We start from the raw sequence: 27370 nt of genomic DNA on the forward strand, positions 1-27370 counted from the left end.
AAGGTTCATAAAGGCAGGCACTATGTCTGTCATGTTTGTCACTATATCTCCCATGCCAACCACAGTGTGTACTTCACATAATGAGCATTTCAAAGGCAACATTTGGTAAAGAGATATGAATGAAGGTCTTACACTGAAGCAGTGGGGAACAGTAGAACCAGCCTAAGCATTAGATCTGGGTTCAAATTCCAGTTTTGCTCATTATCTATGTGATCTACAGCAAGTTGCTTGACAAACTTTAATTTTTACTTTTTTGTAAAATGGGAATAATACCTATTATATAAGGATTATAAGAATCTATAATCATTTATTAAAACTAAGGAGTGTTTAGTGTTTTCTTCGTAATGTGTTTCAAAATATGGGCTTTAAAAATTGAGTGAAATACAATTCCTGTCCTTAATAAATTTCCACATACGATAGTAAGACAAATAAAAAAATACTACGGAAATTTTATGGGTTTTCAAGGTCGGGAGTGATGATGTGTTTGAGGGAATTAGGAAAGGAGGTGGCATATGAAAAAGTCCTTAAGGGATATTTAGGATCTCAGCAGTTAAAATGGGTAGGCATATCCAAGGTAAACAAAGAGAACATAAGCAGGGAGGTAAAAAGGTACTGAGTGTGACTGAAGAAGGGCCAGTTACTCCTGGCTGAACTGTAAGGTTCGCACAGGAAAGTAGAGATACGTCAGAAATGTGTGGTGGGGCCATATTAGTGGTGACAGGTTCTTTCTTTAATCCAGTAGACAATGAGAAACGCTGATTTGGGTCTATGGCATAATAGGAAGTAGTATGCCACATACTGCATGTGGGAGTTCTGCAGGACAGATTGGGAAGTGCATGCGTGTAAGACTGGGAAGACCAGTTAGGAGAGGCTATTGCACTGTTTTAAGTAAGACATAATAAAGCCCTGCACCAGGCGGAGAGCAGAAGGAACGCACAGAAGACGCAGGAGAGGCACATTTCAGAGAGAATCCAGTATGCAATGGATGTCGCACACAAGAGAGAGAGACGCAGGTGACCGGAGCCATTTACACTAATGGGTAAATCTCGGGAAAGCGCTGGTTTCGGCTACCGGCCAGTTACAGGTTTGAGGTGCCCGTCGCCGCCACCTTCCCTTTTTTTATATTCCTCTTTTTCTCATGGCCGCCTCCGCTTCCCTCCATCTCTCCCGCGCTAGTAACTGAGCTTTCAGTCATCGACCTGACCCTGCGTTTTCCCTCACGCTCCGATTCTGCTTCCTATCACTGCCTCCTACTGTACTATCACAGCCAGGACGAGCACGGGTCAGGCACTGAGGCTGTGGGACACTCCACCCGCCTGGTCCCCTATCGCCTCCGCCTAGGCAGCTGCCATGCGTGCGCCCCCACAGCTCTAGGACCAATAGGCAGGCCCTAGTGCTGGGACTCGAACGGCTATTGGTTGGCCGAGCCGTGGTGAGAGATGGTGCGGTGCCTGTTCTTGGCCCTGCAGAGAGCTGTGGGCGGTTGTTAAGGCGACCGTTCGTGACGTAGCGCCGTCAGGCCGAGCAGCCCCCAGGCGATTGGCTAGACAATCGAACGATCCTCTCTTATTGGTCGAAGGCTCGTCCAGCTCCGAGCGTGCGTAAGGTGAGGGCTCCTTCCGCTCCGCGACTGCGTTAACTGGAGCCAGGCTGAGCGTCGGCGCCGGGGTTCGGTGGCCTCTAGTGAGATCTGGAGGTGAGGCGGGCGGTGACCGAGAAGAGGGGCAGGGGCGGCGGGGAGCGGGGCGGAGATGGGTGGGAGCGGGGTTTGGGCTGTGTTGGTGGCAATTCTGGAGCTTCCCTCGGCCCTGGGAAGTGGCTACCGGCAGCTCCTGCGGACCTGGAGGGGGCTGCGGTTGCGCTTTGTCGGTGTGGCAGCTCGGACCCGCGGGGACTGCAAGGAATGTCCTTGAGGCCCGGCAGGCCGAGCGGCGGCCGGCATCAGTGCCGGAGTAACCCGGGGTCCCGGGGTGGGCTTGAGAGGCGGGCGGCGGTCTGGCCTCTTCGTGACTGCGGTCATCATCGGTGGACCCGCGGGGCGTAGCTGCGTTCATCGTCCCTGTTCAGTCAGAGTAGGCAGTGCTGGCTGCACGGTCACGAAAATCGGGGCGGAAAGGGTGTCAGGCAGGGTGACCTCGGAGGCCCCTGGATTCGAGAAATGCTAGGGGTCTATGGGGCTGTCGGGCCGGCAGCTCGCAGGGCAGACGGGAGAAGCGCCTGCATCCCGGGATCCGGGCATTCACGCCCAGGAACTGCTGTTCGTTAGCACCTTTCTTTTAGGTGACGGGAAAGATCTCTGTAAATACTGCTGACTAACTTAGAACCATGAAAGAACCGTGGATTGGTGTAGATGTGTCTGGTTATTTACAGGAGAACGGCTTGAGAGGATGCGGAGCCCAACGTGGGGATTCGCACAATGACTCAAAAGATTCTTCTCCCTCTTTTTTTTTTTTTTTTTTTGGTAAGGGGTGTAGTCTCCTTGGTGCTGATATTCTTTTAGGAAAAATGTACCTTGGAGATACAAATATAGAACAGTTAATTTCTGCAGTAGGAGGAGGTCGATGTACTCCATTCTTAAGTAGTCGTTTGAAATATTTCAGGATTTGAGGATATTCCTTCTTAGACATGGTCCTGCAGAGTCGTAGGAAGCATTTGTTTCTGGGCTATACTAAATGTGCATGATTTCGGCGTCCCACAAGGTAGAGAATGTACTTTTTGTTTACTTATGAATTTATTTTCCTCTCCATGCAGTGAAAGGCATTTTGCAATTTAGAGATAATCTAGCAAAGACCTGGACAGTACTTTGGGGATAGGCTGGATTTTGCAGGCCTGCTTTGTTGTAGTGTTCTTCCAGAACTTATGATAAACTTGGTGGCCAAAACAAATGGGAATTAGTAACATGAAGGTTAAACAAAATTGCACATAGGTTACAGCATTAACATGAAAATTGTCGGGTATGTGGGATAACCATTTCAAGATAAGAGTGTGAGTATGCGTGCATGCACACACTCTTTGTATTCCTTTATGGTCTAGTTTCTAGACTATAGATAGCCACATTATGGAATTACATGGTCTACTTAGGTTGACCCATGTGAAATTGCCAGTATTTAAAATTCAACTAACCTACAAAAATAGCAGTTTCATATGATTCCATTTAACACTTATCTTTGTCAGAGAACTTTGGAGCTCTAGCTTCATAAGTGAATGAAGAGAATAGATATGACTTAAAAAACAACATGTAATAGAATGTGAGCTAATTGGGTATAGAATCCAGATTTCCTGATTGCCAGTGCAAGATTCGTTTTTTTTTTTTTTTTTTTCCTTCTTTCTGGAATACCAGCTTGAGCAGCAGAATGCTAGATCTTGTTGGGATTGAAAATGACTGCCATATAAGACGCAGTTCTTGGCTTCAAAGAGACAAAATGTACACATTTATTAATTTGAGAACACTGTGAGATAGTATATAATCAAATACTGGAATGTGTAATGCAGGCGGAGTGCTGAGTAGGAGGAAGTAAGATGCCAAAACATCCTTTTCTGCAGTTGGCCATGGTAGGTGGCTTCTGTAGCAGATTGGATTGACATTTAAGAATTATCCATTCTTTTAAAGAATCTGTAAAAGTTTGCAGCATACTTTTTAGTCTGAATAAGTAAGGCATACCTTGCCTATTTGTTTCTTTAAGTAAAATTAATTTTTGGCCGGGCGCGGTGGCTCACGCCTGTAATCCCAGCACTTTGGGAGGCCGAGGCGGGCGGATCACGAGGTCAGGAGATCGAGACCATCCCGGCTAAAACGGTGAAACCCCGTCTCTACTAAAAATACAAAAAATTAGCCGGGCGTAGTGGCGGGCGCCTGTAGTCCCAGCTACTTGGGAGGCTGAGGCAGGAGAATGGCGTGAACCCGGGAGGCGGAGCTTGCAGTGAGCCGAGATCCCGCCACTGCACTCCAGCCTGGGCGACAGAGCGAGACTCCGTCTCAAAAAAAAAAAAAAAAAAAAATTAATTTTTATTGCAGCATTGCATAAATACTGTCAACTTAATTTGCAGGAGCTATCCTGTAGCCTGCTTGTGACATTTGCAACTGCTGATGAAGGTGGACGATTGAATTCTATGGCATGTAAATGCTTTGCGTAATCACAGGGCAACGGGGAGGATGTTCCTGAGAAATGAGATTGTTTATAATTATGGTTACTTTTGACACACCCTCATAAGATTGCTCAGTTTGTTTCCAAATAGGTGGAGTTCTCTGTGTTTAGGGGCGGCTGACAGAATCATGTGTAATTTTTTTCCTTGAATATTGCAAAGATGACTTTACACCTAGGAAAAAAAGTCCCAGAATTACAATGCCACCATAAAATCTTTTGAGGGAAAACATAATGTGTCTAATGTATAATTATGGGTTTATGATGTTAAACCAATTTGTTCACAAGTTAGTGTTCCTTCTGGGTTGCAGCTAAGATTTTAACTCAAATGAATTAACTTTTTAAAACAATGAATCTGATTGACATAATGAGGAATAATCTGAGCTGAAGAGTTTTTTTTTCAGGGAAAGAGGGTTAGAAATAATTTTGACCTAATTTTGAAACATGTAGTTAATTTACTTTCTGGAACTTTGATGCTAATTGATCCTTTAGAACAGTTGGTAGAGTTGTGTTTTAAATGTAGGAAAGAAATTATGTGATAGAATACCATGATGAAAATCTAGCCTTTTAGTGAGTGAGTCTTTTGTTTATAATTAAGTAGAGTTCAAATCTAAGATTTGATTAAAGATTTCCAATACTTAAAAGTCCAAGTACCTGCTAATTTAATAGAAAGTATTTTGTTGCTGTTGTTCATTTTCCAGGATAGTTCCAAGTTGACTGTCTCTAATCTGAAGATCTGAAATCCGAAATGCTCCAAAATCTGAAATTTCTTGAGCACCAACCTGACACTCAAAGAAAATGCTCATTGCAGCATTTGGAGTTTGGATTTTGGATTAGGGATGCTAAGCTAATAAATGTAATGCAGATATTACAAAATTCAAAAACATCCAAAATCTGAAACGCTTCTGGTCCCAAGCATTTTGGATAAAGGATACTCAGCCTGTATGTAAAATGTTTCTCCTTCCCGTACCCCATTAATAAGTTCCCTGAATGCTCTGCATTTAGCCTTAAACTAGAGGGCATGGGTTACATCCATATCTAGGTGCCTTAAAAAAAAGTCGTCTTTAGGTCTGTTTCAAGATGTGTCATAAAATACATGCTACTATAGCTTAAGAATTTAAGCCAGCATTTGTTGAGCAATGCTGTATATGAGTGCAAGGTGCTGGAGGGTAAATTGATGAATAAGACTCAGGGTGGAAGGTTGAAAAAGCATGAGTAAACACAGGCAGGTACATGCCACATTTATATTCCTTTAGGTACTGCCAGCTTTTTAAAACTGTGACCCACAGTAGGAAATACACGTTAATTTAAAAGCCAGACACACACTTATATAGGTATAGTTTCTTGAAACATAGTTTTAAGAAATAATACCTACCCATACTACCTGGCTTACCCAACAGCTATTTTTTATAATATTGTTTTCTATTTTATTTTATTTAAAAATGTTTGTTCTTAACGACAAAATTGATGTCATGATGTAATTGATGCAGTTGTTGTGGATCAACAGTTTGAAAACTGTTTAGCTAGTGGTGTGGTATGTCTGAAATGTAGAGAACATGGAGTGATGCAGTGAGAGATGACACTTGGTATTTGCTTTGGTTCCTTAAAGCTGCTCTTTTTTTTTTTTTTTGGTCTTTCCCCTAACCCTTTATAAATAGATTAATGCTTTCTTTCACTTACTTGATTGCCTTTTTATAGTCTGTCTTCAACAGATGAATCACTTTTATTTATTACTAAATGTGAGATTCATTTGAATTCTTGCTAGAGTGGCAGTTAATGAGCTTTTTAAATCTTTTTGGTTGATTTTTGCAGGTTACTAATATGCCTTATCACAGGCATTGATTTTAGTGAAAGAAGTAAGACTTGCAGGTTTATTTGTGGAGACCAATGGTAATAGAAGATTTGTTTTCAAAATCAGAATGTCATAATTATTATTTAGCAAACAGGAAATTTAGTCATGGTAGTCAGTAAATCAAAATCTTCTATATGTTCTTTTGGGAATTTTTTTGAATGCTATATACAGATACTTCAGCCAGTCATCCTCTTCTAGTACTGTTCCAGCTTTTGATTAGTTGTGAAAGTTTGGAGCTTTTCACATCTAATGCTTTTCCATTGGTCTTCTAGCACTATTGTTGATGAATCTGCTAGAAGAAAAGCAGCCACCACAGCAAAATTCTTAACCCTGTTTTATTAATGTAGAAACATCTATCAGAAAAGACTTTTTTTCTGTTGACAGCAATGTTAGGAAGGTTTATTAAACATCCTTTTGCTAGTGACATTATGCCATATGTTCTATGGAATGAAAAAGTACAAGAGGTCCCTGCCCTTGAGGATCTTATCAACTAACATGATTTATAGCAGGACACTCAATAAGTGGATTCTTGGGTGTTTACCTTTTGTGTAATCAGAATGTAGATGATGAAGAAGATACTTAACATGCATTTTATATCTAGGTAATTAGAAAATGTGAATAGCTGTTTCTCACTTGTGTTTTCTGCTTGATTGCTCTTCTACTTGCAAGGCTTAGGTAATAAGGTCGAGATACTTATCTGGTTTGATCTTAAATGTTTGAATTCATATAATTTTTAAGAAATGGCTGCTTTAAAGTTGGTTGCCAGTAAGTAATAAAGGATTTATTGTTTGAGTGAAGAAGAAATAACATAGTTCTCTTAATTTTATAATTATTTTCCAGAATTATAAGGAACAGTATCAAATAGTCATATGTATGGGACACTGTGCATACAAAGCAGGGTTTATAGCACACTTTTCCTTAAAATCTTTTCCTAAAAATACAATGAGCTGTATACTAAGTGTTCACCCTTGATATTCCTTCCAGGATCCAAGGATTCTGTAGCTACAATGTTGTCAAGACTTTTTCGAATGCATGGCCTCTTTGTGGCCTCCCATCCCTGGGAAGTCATAGTGGGGACAGTGACACTGACCATCTGCATGATGTCCATGAACATGTTTACTGGTAACAATAAGATCTGTGGTTGGAATTATGAATGTCCAAAGTTTGAAGAGGTTAGTGAAGTTAATTTGATACTGACTAAAGTAAATTACATTTTCAATTTTTGAAGAGCCCTTAAGCCCCTATAGGGAGCACATAATTTTTAAAAGTTAGAGTAAAATATTTATTTTAGTATTTTGGAACTTACCTCAAATTTCTGCTTACATGGAATGCACTGGAAATGCTCTTATTTTGCTTTGTCTTTACAAATGAATGTAATTGACTTTATTTGAGAAATACATCTTTTATAAGTGACTAATAGTCAAAAATGATTGTGGGCCGGGTATAGTGACTCATGCCTGTAATCCCAGCACTTTGGGAGGCCAAAGCAGGAGAATTGTTTGAGCCTAGGAGTTCAAGACCAGCCTGGGCAACCTGGACAACATAGTAAGACCCAGTCTTTAAAAAAAAATTAAAGGCCGGGCACGGTGGCTCATGTCTGTAATCCCAGCACTTTGGGAGGCCAAGGCGGGTGGATCACGAGGTCGGGAGATCGAGACCATCCTGGCTAACATGGTGAAACCCGTGTCTCTACTAAAAAATACAAAAAAATTAGCCAGGCATGGTGGCGGGCTCCTGTAGTCCCAGCTACTCGGAAGGCTGAGGCAGGAGAATGGCGTGAACCCAGGAGGCAGAGCTTGCAGCGAGCCGAGATCGCGCCACTGCACTCCAGCCTGTGTGACAGAGCGAGATTCCATCTCAAAAAAAATTAAAAAATTAGCTGGGTGTGGTAGCATGTACCTGTAGTCCTGCTACTCGGGAGGCCATGGCAGGAGGATCCCTTGAACCTGGAGGTTGAGGCTGCAGTGAACTGTGATTGCACCACTGTACTCTAGCCTGGGTAACAGCATGTTACCCTGTCTCAAAAAAAAAAAAATTGTGGTGATGTATTGGCTTACCACAGTGGTTTGATTAAAAGTTGGATTTAATTTTTGATTTGTAGGTTTGATATTTTTATTGGACTTGTATTGTGCTTACATTTATGTTCTCATGACTATATAAATGAATTACACATGCAAAATAAAAATTCTTAGTTTTGATTACTTATTTTAAAAGTCAAAGCTAATGGAATTTCCTTTTCTTTCTCTCCTATTAGGATGTTTTGAGCAGTGACATTATAATTCTGACAATAACACGATGCATAGCCATCCTGTATATTTACTTCCAGTTCCAGAATTTACGTCAACTTGGATCAAAATATATTTTGGGTAATAGTTTTACATATTTAACTTCTGGTGTCATCAGATTTTTGATTTGCTGTGGAAATAAACCTGTTCATTCAAATCATGTATTTGGAAATATGTGTATTGCTGAAAGTGTGCTGCATGCATTGAATAGTTTCCTTATTATTGGCAATTAGACATTCTGAAATTTGAGACCTTAATAATTTGGAGTAAACTAGTATTATCTCAGAATGCTGTGTGACACTGTTATTATTTGTGTAGTAAAGGATAAAGTTTTTTTAGTATTGAACTTTTGTCATTTTAGGTATTGCTGGCCTTTTCACAATTTTCTCAAGTTTTGTATTCAGTACAGTTGTCATTCACTTCTTAGACAAAGAATTGACAGGCTTGAAGTAAGTATTTAAAACCTAAATATACTTTCTGTCAAAATACATTTTAAAAAACTTTTCTTCCCCATGCTGTAAAGGTACATTTTCAAAAGTTAAGAAAATAAGGGGAAATTTTTTTGTATAATTTTACTATTAGCTAATTTTAATAACTATTAACATTTTGGCATATATCCTTTTCTACTGTTTTTATACTTAAAGAAAATATCTGATATCATATATATTGTTTTATAATTTCTTTATGCTTAATAATAGTTTATCAACATCTTTCCATGTCCCTTTTTTTTTTTTTTGAGATGGAGTTTCGCTCTTGTCACCCAGGCTGGAGTGTAATGGCACGATCCTGGCTCACTGCAACCTCCACTTCCCGGGTTCAAGCAGTTCTCCTGCCTCAGCCTCCTGAGTAGCTGGGATTACAGGCACCTGCCACCATGCCCATTTAATTTGTGTATTTTTGGTAGAGACTGTGTTTCGCCATGTTGGTCAGGCTGGTGTCAAACTCCTGACCTCAAGTGATCCGCCTGCCTTGGCCTCCCAAAGTGCTGGGATTATAGGCGTGAGCCACTGTGCCCGGCCTCCATGTCCTTAATGTTAAACTAAATTGTTTGTAATGGCTATATGTATTCTCTTCTGTCTAAACGTCTTGTAGTTTATTAATCATCTAATGTTGGACTGTTAGGTTATGTAATTTTTTTTATTAATAACAACACTGTGATGAATGTCTTTGTAACGAAATTTTTGTTCATATTTGTAATCATTTTCTTAAGATACATTCCTAGAAGTGAGACAGTGGTTTTGCTTTTTTTAGAGCTTTGCTTTTTTTTTTTTAAGAGCTTTTTAGTGCTATTATTGCCAATTTAGTTTACAGAAAGTTTGTTTAGTTTATCCTTCCACAGGTAGTGATCAATGAAAATTTTTATATATTCCACTTTTTTTCCCTAATGGTAATCCAAGGAGATATTTTTTACTAAGGATGATACTTTGATACAAAATTATCAAAAGGTGTTTAAATGTAAATATACTTACATTTTAACATTAAAAATATTTTTAACAAATATTTTGAGCAACTACTATGTTTAGCTTTGAGGATGCCAAAGAAATATAGGGTATACTTTTTTGTCTGCAGAAAGGTACACATACTACAGGATCATACAGTATGGAGGGGGAAAGGTTTTGTTCTAAAAAGAATTTTTTTAAAATCATACTTTTTCCCGTTAAATTTATCTGATCATTTTGTTCTTTTCCAGTGAAGCTTTGCCCTTTTTCCTACTTTTGATTGACCTTTCCAGAGCAAGCACATTAGCAAAGTTTGCCCTCAGTTCCAACTCACAGGTAAGTATTATTTATAAGATAGGAATGTGAATAGTATTCCTTTTTTCAGTTTACATTAATAGGAAGGATTAATAGCGTTTCTTCATAGCACAAGATTTAAGAATTGCCCAAAGTTTTAAGTTTAATTCTCAAGTCCCAAGACTGGTCTCCATAAGTGCCCCAGGAACAGTCCCCTGTATCTAACAACTCAATTATGATTCTGTAGCTACTGGAATTTGGAATTGCCCCCATTTTTCTTTTTGAAAGTTTTCAGAACTTATGGTAATAATAATTTTTGGGTAAATAAGAGTATTTTCCTAGTGAAACACATCAGAGAGCAGAACAAGATCTAATGGAAGAGAAACCCAGGGTAGATTGATTGATTGATTGATTTGAGATGTAGTCTCACTCTGTCACCCAGGCTGGAGTGCAGTGGCGAGATCTTGGCTCACCACAACCTTCGCCTCCTGGTTTCGAGGGATTCTTCTGCCTCAGCCACCTGAGTAGCTGGGATTACACATGTGCACCACCATCCCCGGCTAATTTTTGTGTTTTCAGTAGAGACGGAGTTTTGCCATGTTGGCCAGACTGGTCTTTAATTTCTGACCTCAAGTGATCCACCCGCCTCAGCCTCCCAAAGTGGTGGGATTATAGGTGTGAGCCACTGCACCTGGCCAGATTTATTTTTAAACCCCTTAAATTAACACTGGCATTATTTCCTATTTTAAGTTTCATCTTAATGTTCATTAGTCACTTTGAAGAACCTAACCATTTTAACAATATTATATCAGAGTATCTTGAGTATAAAATAGCACACAATTCTGCCCTGATTATTTGTTGATGAAAGTGTGTGATCATTTGAACATATTAACAAGGAAATAAGTTTGGTTTTATTAATACTAATATGATCTCATAAAATTTGCAACTAAGCTTCTGTCATGGTAGGTAAAAATATAGAATGTTGTAGGATTTAATTATGTGTGATTTAAATGACAGAGTTAATGCACTACCTCAAAGGAATATTCCTAACAAATATCTTATTCAGTGGAAAGGGAATCAGGGCACTATATGTTCTTTTTTAAAAATTTGGCTGGGCGCAGTGGCTCACACCTGTAATTCCAGCACTTCGGGAGGCCGAGGTGGGCAGATCACCTGAGGTCAGGAGCTCCAGACCAGCCTGGCCAACCTGGTGAAACCCAGTCTCTACTAAAAATACAAAAATTAGCTGGGCATGGTGGCGGGTGCCTGTAATCCCAGCTACTCGGGAGGCTGAGGCAGGAGAATTGCTTGAACCCAGGAGGCAGAGGTTGCAGTGAACCAAGATCACACCATTGCACATTGCACTCCAGCCTGGGAAACAAAGTGAGACTACATCTCAAAAAAAAATTTTTTAAAATCCTTTATATTACAATCATACTTTGTATCTTGAATACCTGTTAGTTTTATCATATTGTATATTTTACTCTTTGAATAGTAATTTGATATTAATATAAGCCATAGGATGCTCTAACATTTAAAAAAGTTGTTCTGTCCCTTGCCTTCATTGATATGTTTGATCTGTTTTAGGATGAAGTAAGGGAAAATATTGCTCGTGGAATGGCAATTTTAGGTCCTACGTTTACCCTCGATGCTCTTGTTGAATGTCTTGTGATTGGAGTTGGTACCATGTCAGGTTTGTAAGCAATTTTTGCCATATTTTAAAATAGGTATGTCGCTAAAGAGGAAAAAGAACATCTTGGATTTGTATTATTTATTGTTAAATTCTGACTTTTAAATTACTCTTAAAATTTTTTATTATATTAGTGTGTGGGTATATCTGGCCTGTTTGCTTTGGTGGAAACTTAGCAGCAGGTTACTGATTTATTTTTCACTCCTGCCATCCTCTCTTTGTGTTCCACTTTGTGATATTTTTATTCATTTGATTTCTTTTGTTTGTTTTTTTAACCAACATTGCATTCCAAGGTTGGTCTGGAAAACACTTTCCAGCCCCTGCTGTTACTTAGACTCAATTGGTGACTTGGTTCTTTGTGTTTTAATTATCATGTAGGGAGAAAAGAGTCAGGAATTGGACAGATCTGAGTAAGATTCACCTAATAAGGTGATTGGAAATATTTAATCCGATAGTAAGCAGTACATCTCAGCAAGTACCCAGCATTAGCTTCAACACATGTTTCTTCATTCTTAATTGGATAGTAGAGAATTAGATATTAATATCAAACATAGGACTTCATTATGTAGAATAAAAATTACAGACTGGCATGGAAATTTGCCAGAAGGAATATATTACGCTGTGTGAAGGTCTCCTAATCATTAGGATTATATTTTATGGCTTTCTTATAAAGACCATACTTGGTTAACTACTGTGTATTTCCTGGTACCTTAGAGCCCTCAATGAGATGCCTCATTCTTTCAGAAGTAAATTATCTAACTTTTAAGGGGGTAAATTATTGTCATTAGTTTAGGCCTCTTCAGTAGATAGTATATTAAAAATGTAATATTGCTTCTAACTTTCTGAGAGCAAATTATTATTTATTTATTTTATTCAACAAAGATTTTATTTAGCAAATAAAATATTTTTTAATTTTAAAAATTTACTTACTTTAAAATTTACTTTTGGGAGTACAATTTTATGAGTTTTGACAATGACATAGTCTTGTAACCACCACTACACTCAAGAAAAAATGTTGATCAGGTGAAAATGTACTTGTTTGATTTTATTCAAGCAAAAGAATATATGAGAAGGGGATTCGCCAGGAAGTAATAGTTGGGCCATGAAACCATGGGATTATTCATTGAAATAATAATGATGTGGAAAGCAGCTGGGCGATGAGTTTTGTCATGATATGGTCAGAGAAGTAGACAAAGGAAGTGATTAGATTTGTGGTTGGAGAAGACAGTGAGACATTTACAGCTATACAGAAATGGTATAATTAGAGATTTGGGTTACGGTAAAAAAGGACAGATTTAACACATATTAACTTGGAAGTAACCCTTTGAAAAAGCCAGTACAAAAAGAAGAAAGTCTTAGCTTCTTGGATGTCTGTGGATTGGTGCTGTTTCTTTGTGTGTAGAGAGACTTATCTGGGGACACAGTAAGGAAGAATGCCTGGAGAGCATATGGCAACAACATGAGTGAATATTGTGCAGAGAGAAATAGTAGATAGTCAAGTCATGAAAGCATTGGTCAAGTATGGTTTTAATGGCCTCAAGTTTGAAAAGATTATATTCAGCTACTATTTAAAATGTAGTTTGATTTATAATGCTTTTGTTATTGTGATTTTGTAGTCTCTTGAATTTCCACATTTGAGGGTAATCGTGGAATTAAAAAAATACAATATATGCTTGTTCTAGTCAGTCAAATGATATCTTAAAATTTAGGTAATAAAATACAACTTTGAGTTTTTGTGAGCAGTTTTTATAGGACAATTTAAATTTATGTTTCAAAGCATTGGGAATTAAAAAAATACAATATATGCTTGTTCTAGTCAGTCAAATTATATCTTAAAATGTAGGTAATAAAATAAAACTTTGAGTTTTTGTGAGCAGTTTTTATAGGACAATTCAAATTTGTGTTTCAAAGCATTGTTATGTTTGAGCGACATCAGAAATATGTTTTATATTATACTCAAGTTTATTTGTAAAGTGAGGGAGAAGGATTTGGTGGTCATCTAAGGTCTCTTCTAGCCTCTATAATTCTGTTTTCTATTTGAGATCACCAAATGATACCTTAAACAGTTGTAGTACAATATGTTTGTTAATTTTTAGTCTTAAGTTGGCATTTTGTATTATATCATTTTCCAAACAGATCAATGAAATAACCAAAATTATAAGAACTTCAGTAGGCATCATAGAGGTTATATTGAAATTAGAGTTTGTTGGTACACAAAAAATATTATTTTGACCTTATATCAGGACTGGCATAACTGGCAGGATATTCTACTTATATAAAAAATCCTTGGTTAATTGGCAAATTGCTTTTCTCCTAACAAGTGGGATTAGATCAATAGTGTCACTGGGGTTTTGCTCTGTTAGAGTAGCCTGTCCTCTCCTTATTTAATAATAAGGCACTACTGCTTGACAAAAAGGAATTGGAAACACATATGTTTTATCAATTGTGTATTAAACACTACCATTCTGCCTGGCATTGTGATATGGGGACATGAGAGAAGGCAAGAGCTTTGCTCTTGAGGGACTTAGAGTTCTGTTGTTATTCCTGCTGTTTCCTAAGGCTTGGCATCACCTCTAAGTTGCTAATTCTATTTCCAGTAAGTGGCAAGGAGCTTAATGTACTAATATTTTCATGTTTTGTCCACCTGCAGGAAGACAAATATATCCTTGTGATATATGCAGCATAAAAAATAACGTAGACTTTACTAGTTGTATCTTTAATTTTTCTCTAACCAGGGGTACGTCAGCTTGAAATTATGTGCTGCTTTGGCTGCATGTCAGTTCTTGCCAACTACTTCGTGTTCATGACTTTCTTCCCAGCTTGTGTGTCCTTGGTATTAGAGGTAAGACCAATTCTTACATATGGCACTAGTAGAAGAGTAAGATTTCTGCTTACACAGTTTACCTAAACAGAATCAATACCTTCTAATGTCACACTGACTTAATTTGTAGCTTTCTCGGGAAAGCCGCGAGGGTCGTCCAATTTGGCAGCTCAGCCATTTTGCCCGAGTTTTAGAAGAAGAAGAAAATAAGCCGAATCCTGTAACTCAGAGGGTCAAGATGATTATGGTAATGACATGGTTTTCTTCTTCTTTTAGTATCCTCAGTTCCAATCTCATTATTTTTAAGATTTCTTTTTTTCTACAATTTTGGCCCATTCAATGATATTGCACCCCCTTCTTCCTTTTTTTCTTAATGTGTTCATTTCTTTGAGGCTCCTGGTCTTTATTAGCCCCTCTCTCCTAAACAGACTTTTTAAGTTCCCCCACCTTATCTCTCGTTGAAAGCCTGTTCTTTGGGGTGTTTTCAGTAGTTCAGTGGGGTCACTACTTTAGTTAGTTGCATAGCAAGCTTGGGGCTTTTTTTTTTTCATGGTAAGGGGAAGCTATGAGAGATAATGTCTGGCTGTCCAGTTGCTAGGGATAAGAAATTTAAGTTCTATTGATATGCAGAGGATACATTACTTTAAAAATTTTATTTCAGTCTCTAGGCTTGGTTCTTGTTCATGCTCACAGTCGCTGGATAGCTGATCCTTCTCCTCAAAACAGTACAGCAGATACTTCTAAGGTTTCATTAGGACTGGATGAAAATGTGTCCAAGAGAATTGAACCAAGTGTTTCCCTCTGGCAGTTTTATCTCTCTAAGTAAGTTAATTGAAATCTACTTTGTGATATATTAATCATAACACTCTATGCTAATGTAAGTTTAGATTGTGTCCTTTACATTTCTGAATAAGATTTTAATTTGCTTTCTTTTATTTAGAATGATCAGCATGGATATTGAACAAGTTATTACCCTAAGTTTAGCTCTCCTTCTGGCTGTCAAGTACATCTTCTTTGAACAAACAGAGACAGAATCTACACTCTCATTAAAAAACCCTATCACATCTCCTGTAGTGACACAAAAGAAAGTCCCAGACAATTGTTGTAGACGTGAACCTATGCTGGTCAGAAATAACCAGAAATGTGATTCAGTAGAGGAAGAGACAGGGATAAACCGAGAAAGAAAAGGTAACTTGTTATTCTCTTCGCTTTCAATCCTTCATTGCTTTGTCAAAAAGTAGTCTGTTTTCAAAATTATGTGCCGTGTTGTGAGATTTCTTTTGATTTCTTGAACAGTTGAGGTTATAAAACCCTTAGTGGCTGAAACAGATACCCCAAACAGAGCTACATTTGTGGTTGGTAACTCCTCCTTACTCGATACTTCATCAGTACTGGTGACACAGGAACCTGAAATTGAACTTCCCAGGGAACCTCGGCCTAATGAAGAATGTCTACAGATACTTGGGAATGCAGAGGTGAGGATGATAACATAAACTCCAATGTGGCATTTTTCATTACAAAGGAGCTTTTTCAAGGAAGAAAAATCTAGTATCTGCTGAACACTACAGCTAAGTTCTGGGCACGGTGTAACATGACTAACAGATACTATCTTCTTTCTTTATTTCACACAACCTTGAGAGGTAGGTACAATTATCTATTTTTCAGATGAGAACATTGAGGCTCCAATATGTTTAATTTCCCAAAGTAGTACCTCTAGGAAATGATAAAGCTGATAGCAGGGTCCAAGATTTTCTGACTCCAGAGTCAAAACTCTTTCTAGTTTATTACTGTTTATCATAGAGATGAGTGACTACTGTATTCTCATAGGTGTGTTGAGGCCTAGAAAGAGTTTAACACAGAGACAAGTTTCAAAGATAGAAGAAAGTTTGTTTTTGTTTTGTTTTGTAAGCTTGATACCCATGAGGAAGTTTGCTTTTCTTTCTGACATTTGAACAGGACCTTCTGCCTACATGACCATATGAATCTACTCATGCTTTCATGCAAATAATCATGTTCCATCCATGTCTGCTTAATATGGTTCTTTCTTTTAAATATATGTTAATACGTTTATTGGTAAAATGCAATTTTTTGCCAGCTTTATTGAGGTATACTTGACAAAATTTTATTTTATTATTATTATTATTATTATTATTATTATTGTTTTGGAGACAGAGTGTCACTCTGTCACCCAGGCTGGAGTACAGTGGCACCATCTTGGCTCACAGCAACCTCCACCTCCCAGGTTCAAGCGATTCTTGTGTATCAGCCTCCCGAGTAGCTGGGATTACAGGCATGCGCCACCATGTCTGGCTAATTTTTGTGTTTTTAGCAGAGATGGGATTTCACTATGTTGGCCAGGCTGGTCTCAAACTCCTGGCCTCAAGTGGTCTGCCTGCCTTGGCCTCCCAAAGTGCTGGGATTACAGGTATGAGCCACTGCATGCCCGGCCTGCATTCTTCAATCATATGCTTTTTAGCTAAACTTAGTCATTGTTCTTTAAATACAGTTCCCAACTCTGGGTTCCTATTCTTGTCATCTGACATGTCTCCCCCTCTCCAGGTGTTCACACCTTTAGGGCAAATGCTAGCATCTCTATGAAACCTACCTCAATTCCGCCAAACAGAAGTAACCTTTCTTTTCTGAAGCATCCATTATATAGAGACTGTGCATTTTTAATGGCAGTCGTACCTTGTTGCTTATATCACATTTACATGAATATCTCCATTATTAGACATCGGGCTCTTAGATGGCTAAGTCCATGTCTTGAGAGGGCCTTGGATTTCATAGGTGCTCAGTAAACTTACTAAGAGAATGAATGAATTTGCATTGATAATACATAAACCAGCTAATGTTTATCTTACTATTCTTTTGAAAAATTAGGCTAATATTAGTGTTTGCAAAGAAGATCCTTGAATAAACCCACAAAATGGAATTACTGGTACCAGTTTTGTGGAGGGTGGTGATTGTGAGTGTGTGTGTGTGTATGTGTATGTATGTATATCACCACCACAAGCAGAGTCAAGAGACAGCTAATAAACCAAGAGAAAATATTGGCAATTTATATTTAAGGCTAAAGGGCTAATCTCTAATATATAAAGAGCTCCTACAAATTGATGAGACTAAATTTTTATCTAATTTTTAAAAAGAGCAGATAATCAGTCTATTGTCAGGAAAAAAGTACATATGGCTCTTAAAAATGTGAAAAGGTGATTAACTTCATCCTAAGAGAAATGCAAATTAAAATTGTACTTGAGATATTTTCACTCATCAGATTGGCAATAATCCCAAAGTTTAATAACATACTCTATTGAGGTTGTAGGGAAAGGTCTTTTCTTGTTTTTTTGGGTTTTTTTTTGGTTTGGTTTTTTTTTTTTTGAGAAGGAGTTTTGCTATTGTTGCCCAGGCTGGAGTGCAATGGCATGATCTTGGCTCACCGCAACCTCTGCCTCCTGGGTTCAATTGATTCTCCTGCCTCAGCCTCCCAAGTAGCTGGGATTACAGGCATGCGCCACCATTCCTGGCTAATTTTGTATTTTTAGTAGAGACGGGGTTTCTCCATGTTTGTCAGGCTGGTCTCAAACTCCGGACCTCAGGTGATCCGCCCGCCTTGGCCTCCCAAAGTGCTGGGATTATAGGCGTGAGCCACTGCCCCCAGGCTGGAAAGGTCTTTTCTTACATTGGTGGTGAGAAGGCAATTGGACCGTGTTTATTCAAATTAATAAATTTGTAAAAATTATAAAAATTTATAAGATTGTAAATGTTCATACCCTTTGGCCCAACACTTGTGTGAATATATACCCATATGTGTGCGTGTATATATATATATATGCATATTTATAATCATGCCTAAAAACATCTCTGGATGGATACACAGTGAAACAGTGGTACCTATTTATGTGTAGGTAGCAAAGAACTGGGCAGATGGTAGACAGGGATGGGATGAAGACTTTTTGTTATATCTCTTTTAATATTTAGTTTTTAAACCATGTGAATATATTGCCTGTTCAGGATATCAAAAATAGCAAGTTTACTAGAGTTTAAACAATAGCTGTTATATCTGACACACACTTGAAACCTTGCTAAATTCACATTTATTTTTCTTTTTATGGTGTATTAGTGCAAGCCTGTCTTTGTATTGTAAAATCTAATGATACGGTATTTATATTATTTTTGTTTGGCATTTTTTGCATTAAATGAATTATTTTGCAGAGGTATCTTTTAATTAAAAACTACAGTGATTTAATTTAAAAATTACATTATTTTAGCTTAGCATTGTTTGTATTAAATGGTTTATAACATGAAATACAGTCCTTCAAGTCTTCTGTTTCATCTCTCTCTCTGACCACAATTTCATTTTTTTTCTCCATTTCTTTAGAAAGGTGCAAAATTCCTTAGTGATGCTGAGATCATCCAGTTAGTCAATGCTAAGCATATCCCAGCCTACAAGTTGGAAACTCTGATGGAAACTCATGAGCGTGGTGTATCTATTCGCCGACAGTTACTTTCCAAGAAGCTTTCAGAACCTTCTTCTCTCCAGTACCTACCTTACAGGGATTATAATTACTCCTTGGTATGTTATTTTCTCGATTAAGAGAGATTTGCTTTGTATGTTTTTAATCTTTTTTCTTGATTAGTTTCATATATGTACATAGTTTTATAAAACATTTTCCTTTTAAATCATTTTATCCTAATTTTTTATTCTGCTTATGATGTAGGTCATAGAAATTAAAAATATATTTCCTGCTTTTATAGTCATTACTCAAAGATTTTAGTATTTTAAACACTTTTTAAAGGTGAATTAAACATTTTGTTTAAAAAGAATACATACTAAAGGATTAAGTTTGAAGATAGTTATACTGACAAGCTGAGATAAAATTTTGTGCATTTACTATATAGATTTTCATTTGGTGCCTGACTTTACCTTTTAGGTGATGGGAGCTTGTTGTGAGAATGTTATTGGATATATGCCCATCCCTGTTGGAGTGGCAGGACCCCTTTGCTTAGATGAAAAAGAATTTCAGGTTCCAATGGCAACAACAGAAGGTTGTCTTGTGGCCAGCACCAATAGAGGCTGCAGAGCAATAGGTGTAAGTTGGCATTTATATATTTGCCAGTTTAAAAATACATCATAAGTAAGGCAATGAGAAGAGTTTTAAGGACAATTAGTGATACCTTTTGGGTCAAGCATGAGCATTTTTGGGTAACATGTGCTTGCTTCTCTAACATATACTGTGTAGCTTGGTGGAGGTGCCAGCAGCCGAGTCCTTGCAGATGGGATGACTCGTGGCCCAGTTGTGCGTCTTCCACGTGCTTGTGACTCTGCAGAAGTGAAAGCCTGGCTCGAAACATCTGAAGGGTTCGCAGTGATAAAGGAGGCATTTGACAGCACTAGCAGGTGTGTGAGTGGATTTGTATGTACAGTTATATCTATTTGTTTATTTTAGAACCAGTGTCATTTTCTGTGATTACCAAACATAATTGTTAACATATTACCTGCTAAAGAGCACATAACAGAATATCAACTTTAAAGCCATTCATTTAAAATGAGTAATATTTATGCTTGGTTGGGGGGAAAAAAAGAATGTTGATTCAAATGAATAGCTCCACAGAGGTAAATTAGTAAGAAAAAAAAAAAAGTGTGAGCTAGTAATTTTGATTAGATGTTACTTTGCCTAGGAGAGAACTGTCTTAGAAAAAAAGATTTTTCAAATAGGAGAGAAATATTAGTATAATAAGACTTACTTCAAATAAAGAAAATTAATAAAGTAGCATAATCAACACAAATGATAACCATAGTATAGTTCAAGCTAACACATTTGTTTTTATGTGAACTGTGTAAGTTTATTAAGAAATAATTGTGACTGGGCGCAGTGGCTCACGCCTGTAATCCCAACACTTTGGGGAGGCCAACGCGGGCAGATCACTTGAGGCCAGGAGTTCGAGACCAGCCTGGCCAGCATGGCGAAACCCTGTCTCTACTCAAAATACAAAAATTGGCTGGGCATGGTGGCCCGCGCCTGTAATCCCAGCTACTCGGGAGGCTGAGGCTGGAGAATTTCTTGAACCCGGGAGGTGGATGTTGCAGTGAGCCAAGATCAAGCCACTGCACTCCAGCCTGGGCCACAGAGTGAGACTCCGTCTCAAAAAAAAACAAAAAACAAAGAAATAATAATAATAAAAGAATAAAACACAGTCTTTGCATCTTTTATTTATAGATTTGCACGTCTACAGAAACTTCATACAAGTATAGCTGGACGCAACCTTTATATCCGTTTCCAGTCCAGGTCAGGGGATGCCATGGGGATGAACATGATTTCAAAGGTAAGTGTAGGCAGAGTATCTGAAAGTACTTTTATTAAAATGAAAGTACTTTTATAAAAAACAAATCAGGCATTTGTTGATTGGTATTCCTTACATTTGATAGATTTAATTTAGACTTGGCATTACACATATCCTGAGTTTACTTAGGACTGGGAACAATCTTAGTATTGACATTTCAAAACTTTATCCAGTCAAGAGACCACCTTTGAAGCTGACCTCTTCAAGATTTGTCTTTAAGAACACCAATATAATTTCAGTACTTTGGGAGGCCAAGGCAAGAAGATTGCTTGGGGTCTGGAGTTTAAGACCAGCCTGGGCAACACAGTGAGATGCTATCTCTACAAACAATAAAAAAAAATAGTTGTGCATAGTGGCACACACCTGTGGTCCTCGCTACACGGTAGGCTGGGGCAGGAAGTTAGCTTGAGCCTAGGAGCTTGAGGCCAGCTTCGGCAATGTAGCAAGACCCTGACTCCATTCATCCATCCGTCTGTCCGTCCGTCCGTCTGTCTGTTTTCAATTTAGGATATTTTCTGCTTATGTGGGGTTTACAGCCTAATAAACCTATCAAAAGTCAAGGAGCATCTGTATAAGCTTTAAAATTGCCAATAAACAGTATGGCAGTTCAACAACTTAAACATGAAATTACCATATGATCCAGCAGTTGCACTTCCGGGCATATACCCAAAAGAACTGAAAGCAGTTCTCAGAGAGATATTTGTACAGCTATGTTTGTAGCAGCATTTTTCATAATAGCCATGAATTGGAATCAACCTTAGTGTTCGTTGTTGGATGAATGGACAACAAATTAGATGTATTTGTATGTGTGTGTATGTATATGTCTATATAAAATGGAATATTATTCAGCATTAAAAAGGAAGGAAATTATAGCACATGATACAGCATGGATAAACATTGATGACATTATGCTAAATGAAATAAACCAGTCACAAAAAGACAAATACTGTATCATTCCACTTGAATGAGGTGTCTAGAATAGTCAAATTCATAGAGACAGAAAGTAGAATGGTGGTTATCATGGGTTTGGGGAAGGGGAAAATGGGTGGTTGTTATTTAGTAAGTACAGAGTTTTTGTTTTGTGAGATGAAAAGAGTTCTGGGAGCAAAGACATGGAACCAACCCAAATGCCCATCAATGATAGACCGGATAAAGAAAATGTGGCACATATACAGCATGCAATACTGTGCAGCCATAAAAAAGGAATGAGATCATGTCCTTTGTAGGGACATGGATGAGCCTGGAAATATCATTCTCAGCAAACTAACACAGGAACAGAAAACCAAACACCACACCTTTTCACTTGTAAGTGGGAATTGAACAATGAGAACACATGGACACAGGGAGGGGAACAACACACACCGAGGCATGTCGGGGGGTTGGGGGCAAGGGGAAGAGCATTAGGGCAAATACCTAATGCATGTGGAGCTTAAAACCTAGATGACAGGTTGATAGGTGCAGCAGACCACCATGGCACATGTATACCTATGTAACAAACCTGCATGTTCTGTACATATATCCCAGAACTTAAAAAAGAGTTCTGGGGATTTGTTGCATGGCAGTGTGAATATACTTACCACTGTACACCTAAAAATGGGTAGGATGGTAAATTTTATGTGTTTCACCACAATAAAATTATGTTTTTAATTGCCAATAAATATGTTTTGGATTATTGAGGTATGAGTTGTTAATTGAATTAATGCCATTTAATTGGAAGTCATTGGGAAGCTTATTTGTATTTTATGTAATATAAAGCTCAACGACATAAGAGTCGAATCACAAGATCAACTCTTATGACCCACTTCTCTTTACAGACTTCATTACTTGGGGTTTTAGGTAACAGCTGAATAACTAGAAGATGGAATTTATTACTCATTCCCCAGTGACATATAAATATGAGTATTTTTATTGAATATTTTTAACATTATCATCTTTTATCTACATCTTTTTCAACAATGACTACAAAGAACTTGGTTTTCATACCGAGAAAGAAACACATTAGGAATTTATACCTGACCAAGAAAGTAATTGTGATGGTTAACAAAACAGCTGTTACTTTTGTGCTCAGTTTCTTTGAAGTATAGTTATTATACTTAGAAATATATCATAGATACAAATTCTTCTCATAAGGATGAAGGATGAATATTTCATGCAGTTTAATATGTGTGTGTTTTGGGTTCTTGTTAACAGGGTACAGAGAAAGCACTTTCAAAACTTCACGAGTATTTCCCTGAAATGCAGATTCTAGCCGTTAGTGGTAACTATTGTACTGACAAGAAACCTGCTGCTATAAATTGGATAGAGGGAAGAGGAAAATCTGTTGTTTGTGAAGCTGTCATTCCAGCCAAGGTTGTCAGAGAAGTGAGTGACTGGATGGATAATTTATCTTTTTTATTTTGTAATCTTTAATTGTATTTAAAAATGGGGGAAAGGAGTATTAACATTTTAAATAAAGTTAAATATATGGGACAGTGTTTTCCATCAAAGATGACTGTTGTACCTTGCCCATCTGTCTGTGTGTATCATCCATAGGAACAAACTTTACTGATTTTTTTTAATTTTTTTTATTTTTTAATGGAGGACAGGGCTTAAATGGGGCCACATCTAAACTTTGTTTTCTGGAGGTTCAGAAAGATAGATTTGGGTAACATTCCCCTGAACCTTCTGGAGGAACATCTAAATGTACACAGCTCTGTTTTGTAGGTATTAAAGACTACCACAGAGGCTATGATTGAGGTCAACATTAACAAGAATTTAGTGGGCTCTGCCATGGCTGGGAGCATAGGAGGCTACAACGCCCATGCAGCAAACATTGTCACCGCCATCTACATTGCCTGTGGACAGGTGAGCTCTCCAGCCTCCACTTCTCTTGTGTTACGTCTTTCTAAGTGAAAGAAGTATATTGTATATTTTTTCTTTTCTTGTTTCCAGGATGCAGCACAGAATGTTGGTAGTTCAAACTGTATTACTTTAATGGAAGCAAGTGGTCCCACAAATGAAGATTTATATATCAGCTGCACCATGCCATCTATAGAGATAGGAACGGTGGGTGGTGGGACCAACCTACTACCTCAGCAAGCCTGTTTGCAGGTATGATGTATCAGGCATAGAGTCCACAAGCCTAGTTCTGACTCTCTGGGTTTCTCTTTCTATCTGAGACTATGTATCACTCACCTCTATTTTAATTGGTCTTTTCCAAACTCTTTTGTCATATCAGCCTAATCCATTGTGTCCAAATAAGCATGTTTAAGCTTATGCTTAGATAAGAAAGTAGATGAAGAGAGCAAATGAATGTTCATCTACTGAGTTAAGGGTACTGCCAGTCAGGCTGTGAATATTATGTTAGCTATGGTATTATGCACTGTCAGGTGTGGCTGTCAAGTCTTGGAAAGTTAGTGCTTCCAGTGGAGTCTAGTTCTATTCTGATGCCATTACAGTTGCCCTGTTTTTAGTTGATTTAGTAAGAAATTGGTCATGATTTTAAGGGTGAATCTTGTTGTGTCTCTCCCTGGCTACAGATGCTAGGTGTTCAAGGAGCATGCAAAGATAATCCTGGGGAAAATGCCCGGCAGCTTGCCCGAATTGTGTGTGGGACCGTAATGGCTGGGGAATTGTCACTTATGGCAGCATTGGCAGCAGGACATCTTGTCAAAAGTCACATGATTCACAACAGGTAAGACTCAAAGATATATTTAACATGTTCCCCCTATACTTCAAAAAATATGCAGTGTAAAAACTTACTATTCATCTACTGTAGTTCCAAGTTAAAATTCTACACTCCTGATATTTATATATTGCTACTTTGTCATTTTCTACCATAGGTCGAAGATCAATTTACAAGACCTCCAAGGAGCTTGCACCAAGAAGACAGCCTGAATAGCCCGACAGTTCTGAACTGGAACATGGGCATTGGGTTCTAAAGGACTAACATAAAATCTGTGAATTAAAAAAGCTCAATGCATTGTCTTGTGGAGGATGAATAGATGTGATCACTGAGACAGCCACTTGGTTTTTGGCTCTTTCAGAGAGGTCTCAGGTTCTTTCCATGCAGACTCCTCAGATCTGAACACAGTTTAGTGCTTTACATGCTGTGCTCTTTGAAGAGATTTCAACAAGAATATTGTATGTTAAAGCATCAGAGATGGTAATCTACAGCTCACCTCTGAAGGCAAATATAAGCTGGGAAAAAAGTTTTGATGAAATTCTTGAAGTTCATGGTGATCAGTGCAATTGACCTTCTCCCTCACTCCTGCCAGTTGAAAATGGATTTTTAAATTATACTGTAGCTGATGAAACTCCTGATTTTGTAGTTAATTTATTAAGTCTGGGATGTAGAACTTCAAGAAGTAAGAGCTAAGTTCTAAGTTCATGTTTGTAAATTAATACTTCATTTGGTGCTGGTCTATTTTGATTTTGGGGGGTAATCAGCATTATTCTTCAGAAGGGGACCTGTTTTCTTCAAGGGAAGAAACACTCTTATTCCCAAACTACAGAATAATGTGTTAAACATGCTAAATAGTTCTATCAGGAAAACAAATCACTGTATTTATCTCCGCAGGCTATTTGTTCAGAGAGGCCTTTTGTTTAAATATAAATGTTTAAATATAAATGTTTGTCTGGATTGGCTATAACATGTCTTTCAGCATTAGGCTTTTAAGAAACACAGGGTTTTGTATTCTTTACTAAAGATATCAGAGCTCTTAATGTTGCTTAGATGAGGGTGACTGTCAAGTACAAGCAAGACTGGGACCTTAGAAATCATTGTAGAAACACAGTTTTGAAAGAAAAATACCATGTCTCTAAGCCAACTTTAATTGCTTAAAAGACATTTTTATTTAGTTGAAAAATCTAGTTTTTTTTGTAAACTGTATCAAATCTGTATATGTTGTAATAAAACTTATGCTAGTTTATTGGAAGTGTTCAAGAAATAAAAATCAACTTGTGTACTGATAAAATACTCTAGCCTGGGCCAGAGAAGATAATGTTCTTTAATGTTGTCCAGGAAACCCTGGCTTGCTTGCCGAGCCTAATGAAAGGGAAAGTCAGCTTTCAGAGCCAGTGAAGGAGCCACGTGAATGGCCCTAGAACTGTGCCTAGTTCCTGTGGCCAGGAGGTTGGTGACTGAAACATTCACACAGGGCTCTTTGATGGACCCACGAACGCTCTTAGCTTTCTCAGGGGGTCAGCAGAGTTATTGAATCTTAATTTTTTTTAATGTACAAGTTTTGTATAAATAATAAAGAACTCCTTATTTTGTATTACATCTAATGCTTCAAGTGTTGCTCTTGGAAAGCTGATGATGTCTCTTGTAGAAGATGGACTCTGAAAAACATTCCAGGAAACCATGGCAGCATGGAGAGCCTCTTAGTGATTGTGTCTGCATTGTTATTGTGGAAGATTTACCTTTTCTGTTGTACGTAAAGCTTAAATTGCTTTTGTTGTGACTTTTTAGCCAGTGACTTTTTCTGAGCTTTTCATGGAAGTGGCAGTGAAAAATATGTTGAGTGTTCATTTTAGTGACTGTAATTAATATCTTGCTGGATTAATGTTTTGTACAATTACTAAATTGTATACATTTTGTTATAGAATACTTTTTTCTAGTTTCAGTAAATAATGAAAAGGAAGTTAATACCAATAAGTGTAAGCAGTAACCTTTTTTCTTTGGATTAACCCTAGCCCTGAGGTCTGGAAGCTTGTAAAGTCTGGTCATAGTAGTAACCTGTAATTCATGCTAGGACTCACATGACCATTTATTCTCAAATTCTACAACATTGATTGATAGCAGTATTCTATTACATTAAAATGAGCTCTCTTAGAGGGTTTGATTAGTTCAGATTTATCATCTCAACTAGACATCTTTTGGATAGTGAGAGTGGGAGGGCTAGTTAAGGAGAAGAGGGGCAGCCACAACCAAACAGCCATTGCAAGCATTTAAGCTGTGTGAGCTGAATTGGAGAGGGGAATTTGTACAGCTTGGTATAGCTGAGGATGGCCTCTTTAGAAATTACTGTGAGTCAGTAATTTACAGAAAATTATTGACTACACTTTTGCTGTAATTAGAGGTAAAAAGGTATGTGTGAGCACTAAGAAAGAACCAAGGCCCAGATACTAGAGAATCAGTTTGAGTTTTTCTCTGAAATGACCTGTGGTCACCTGTATGCTCAGCCCTCTCCAGGGTGGAACAGGCTGGACAGAAGAGAGTGAAGGATCTTTAAGCCTGCTCTCTGCCTGGGTGATCTGCTGAGCAATGAGATGCATGTGGCAGGACAGGATGTTTGATTTCAGGAGACGATACAGGATTAAATCTAAGGGGCACATCTCACACTGAAGAGCAAAACACATCAATACCAATCTCCTGAGCATTATGTTCATTGTGGAGATTTTTTCATGACCAGTGTTTCTCGAAGTATGCTCCTACGCTAGGTAAGTCTTGAATTTATTAATTACTTTGCCAGTTAGCAAAAATAATGGGTAACCTCTACACTGGAAGCCGAGAGAAGATGGCAGA

At 38.0% G+C, this 27370-nt stretch overlaps 1 protein-coding gene across 6 annotated transcripts, besides 3 other annotated features; it reads left to right on the top strand.

The window, feature by feature from the left end:
- On the top strand, positions 925-26512 carry HMGCR (3-hydroxy-3-methylglutaryl-CoA reductase). Of its 6 annotated transcripts, XM_011543358.2 has the most exons (21): positions 1616-2280; positions 2601-2699; positions 6979-7166; positions 8249-8360; positions 8641-8728; positions 9970-10054; positions 11600-11705; positions 14438-14544; positions 14654-14770; positions 15185-15345; positions 15464-15711; positions 15820-15998; positions 18899-19093; positions 19452-19610; positions 19761-19918; positions 20739-20844; positions 23053-23223; positions 23566-23706; positions 23794-23952; positions 24381-24535; positions 24684-26512. In XM_011543358.2, the coding sequence occupies exons 3-21, from the start codon at positions 7002-7004 to the stop codon at positions 24736-24738; spliced, it is 2667 nt and encodes an 888-aa protein (XP_011541660.1). In that variant the 5' UTR covers positions 1616-2280; positions 2601-2699; positions 6979-7001; the 3' UTR covers positions 24739-26512. The 6 variants fall into 6 exon arrangements, with proteins under 6 accessions (XP_011541659.1, XP_011541661.1, NP_001351116.1 ...); XM_011543357.2 differs by lacking the exons at positions 1616-2280; positions 2601-2699 and adding an exon at positions 925-1013; NM_001364187.1 differs by lacking the exons at positions 1616-2280; positions 2601-2699 and adding an exon at positions 1564-1606.
- Positions 1527-2087: an enhancer, noted in NCBI's record as "H3K27ac hESC enhancer chr5:74632956-74633516 (GRCh37/hg19 assembly coordinates)". NCBI's record gives its function as "activates a minimal SCP1, AML or CMV promoter by ChIP-STARR-seq in primed H9 embryonic stem cells {active_cell/tissue: H9 hESC(primed)}" and the evidence as "EXISTENCE:reporter gene assay evidence [ECO:0000049][PMID:30033119]".
- Positions 1728-1847: a silencer, noted in NCBI's record as "silent region_16102". NCBI's record gives its function as "represses an Ori minimal core promoter by ATAC-STARR-seq in GM12878 lymphoblastoid cells {active_cell/tissue: GM12878}" and the evidence as "EXISTENCE:reporter gene assay evidence [ECO:0000049][PMID:35858748]".
- Positions 2088-2646: an enhancer, noted in NCBI's record as "H3K27ac hESC enhancer chr5:74633517-74634075 (GRCh37/hg19 assembly coordinates)". NCBI's record gives its function as "activates a minimal SCP1, AML or CMV promoter by ChIP-STARR-seq in primed H9 embryonic stem cells {active_cell/tissue: H9 hESC(primed)}" and the evidence as "EXISTENCE:reporter gene assay evidence [ECO:0000049][PMID:30033119]".

This window comes from Homo sapiens, chromosome 5, assembly GCF_000001405.40.
Source record: "Homo sapiens chromosome 5, GRCh38.p14 Primary Assembly".
Taxonomy (NCBI): Eukaryota; Metazoa; Chordata; class Mammalia; order Primates; family Hominidae; genus Homo; species Homo sapiens.

Excerpts from the sequence above, each read along its gene's own strand:
- HMGCR (XM_011543357.2), top strand. The coding sequence starts at position 977 with ATGCAATGGATGTCGCACACAAGAGAGAGAGACGCAG. Across the intron at positions 15,346-15,463 it reads TGGCAGTTTTATCTCTCTAA|AATGATCAGCATGGATATTG; the intron begins GTAAGTTAATTG and ends TCTTTTATTTAG. Across the intron at positions 23,953-24,380 it reads CTCAGCAAGCCTGTTTGCAG|ATGCTAGGTGTTCAAGGAGC; the intron begins GTATGATGTATC and ends CCCTGGCTACAG.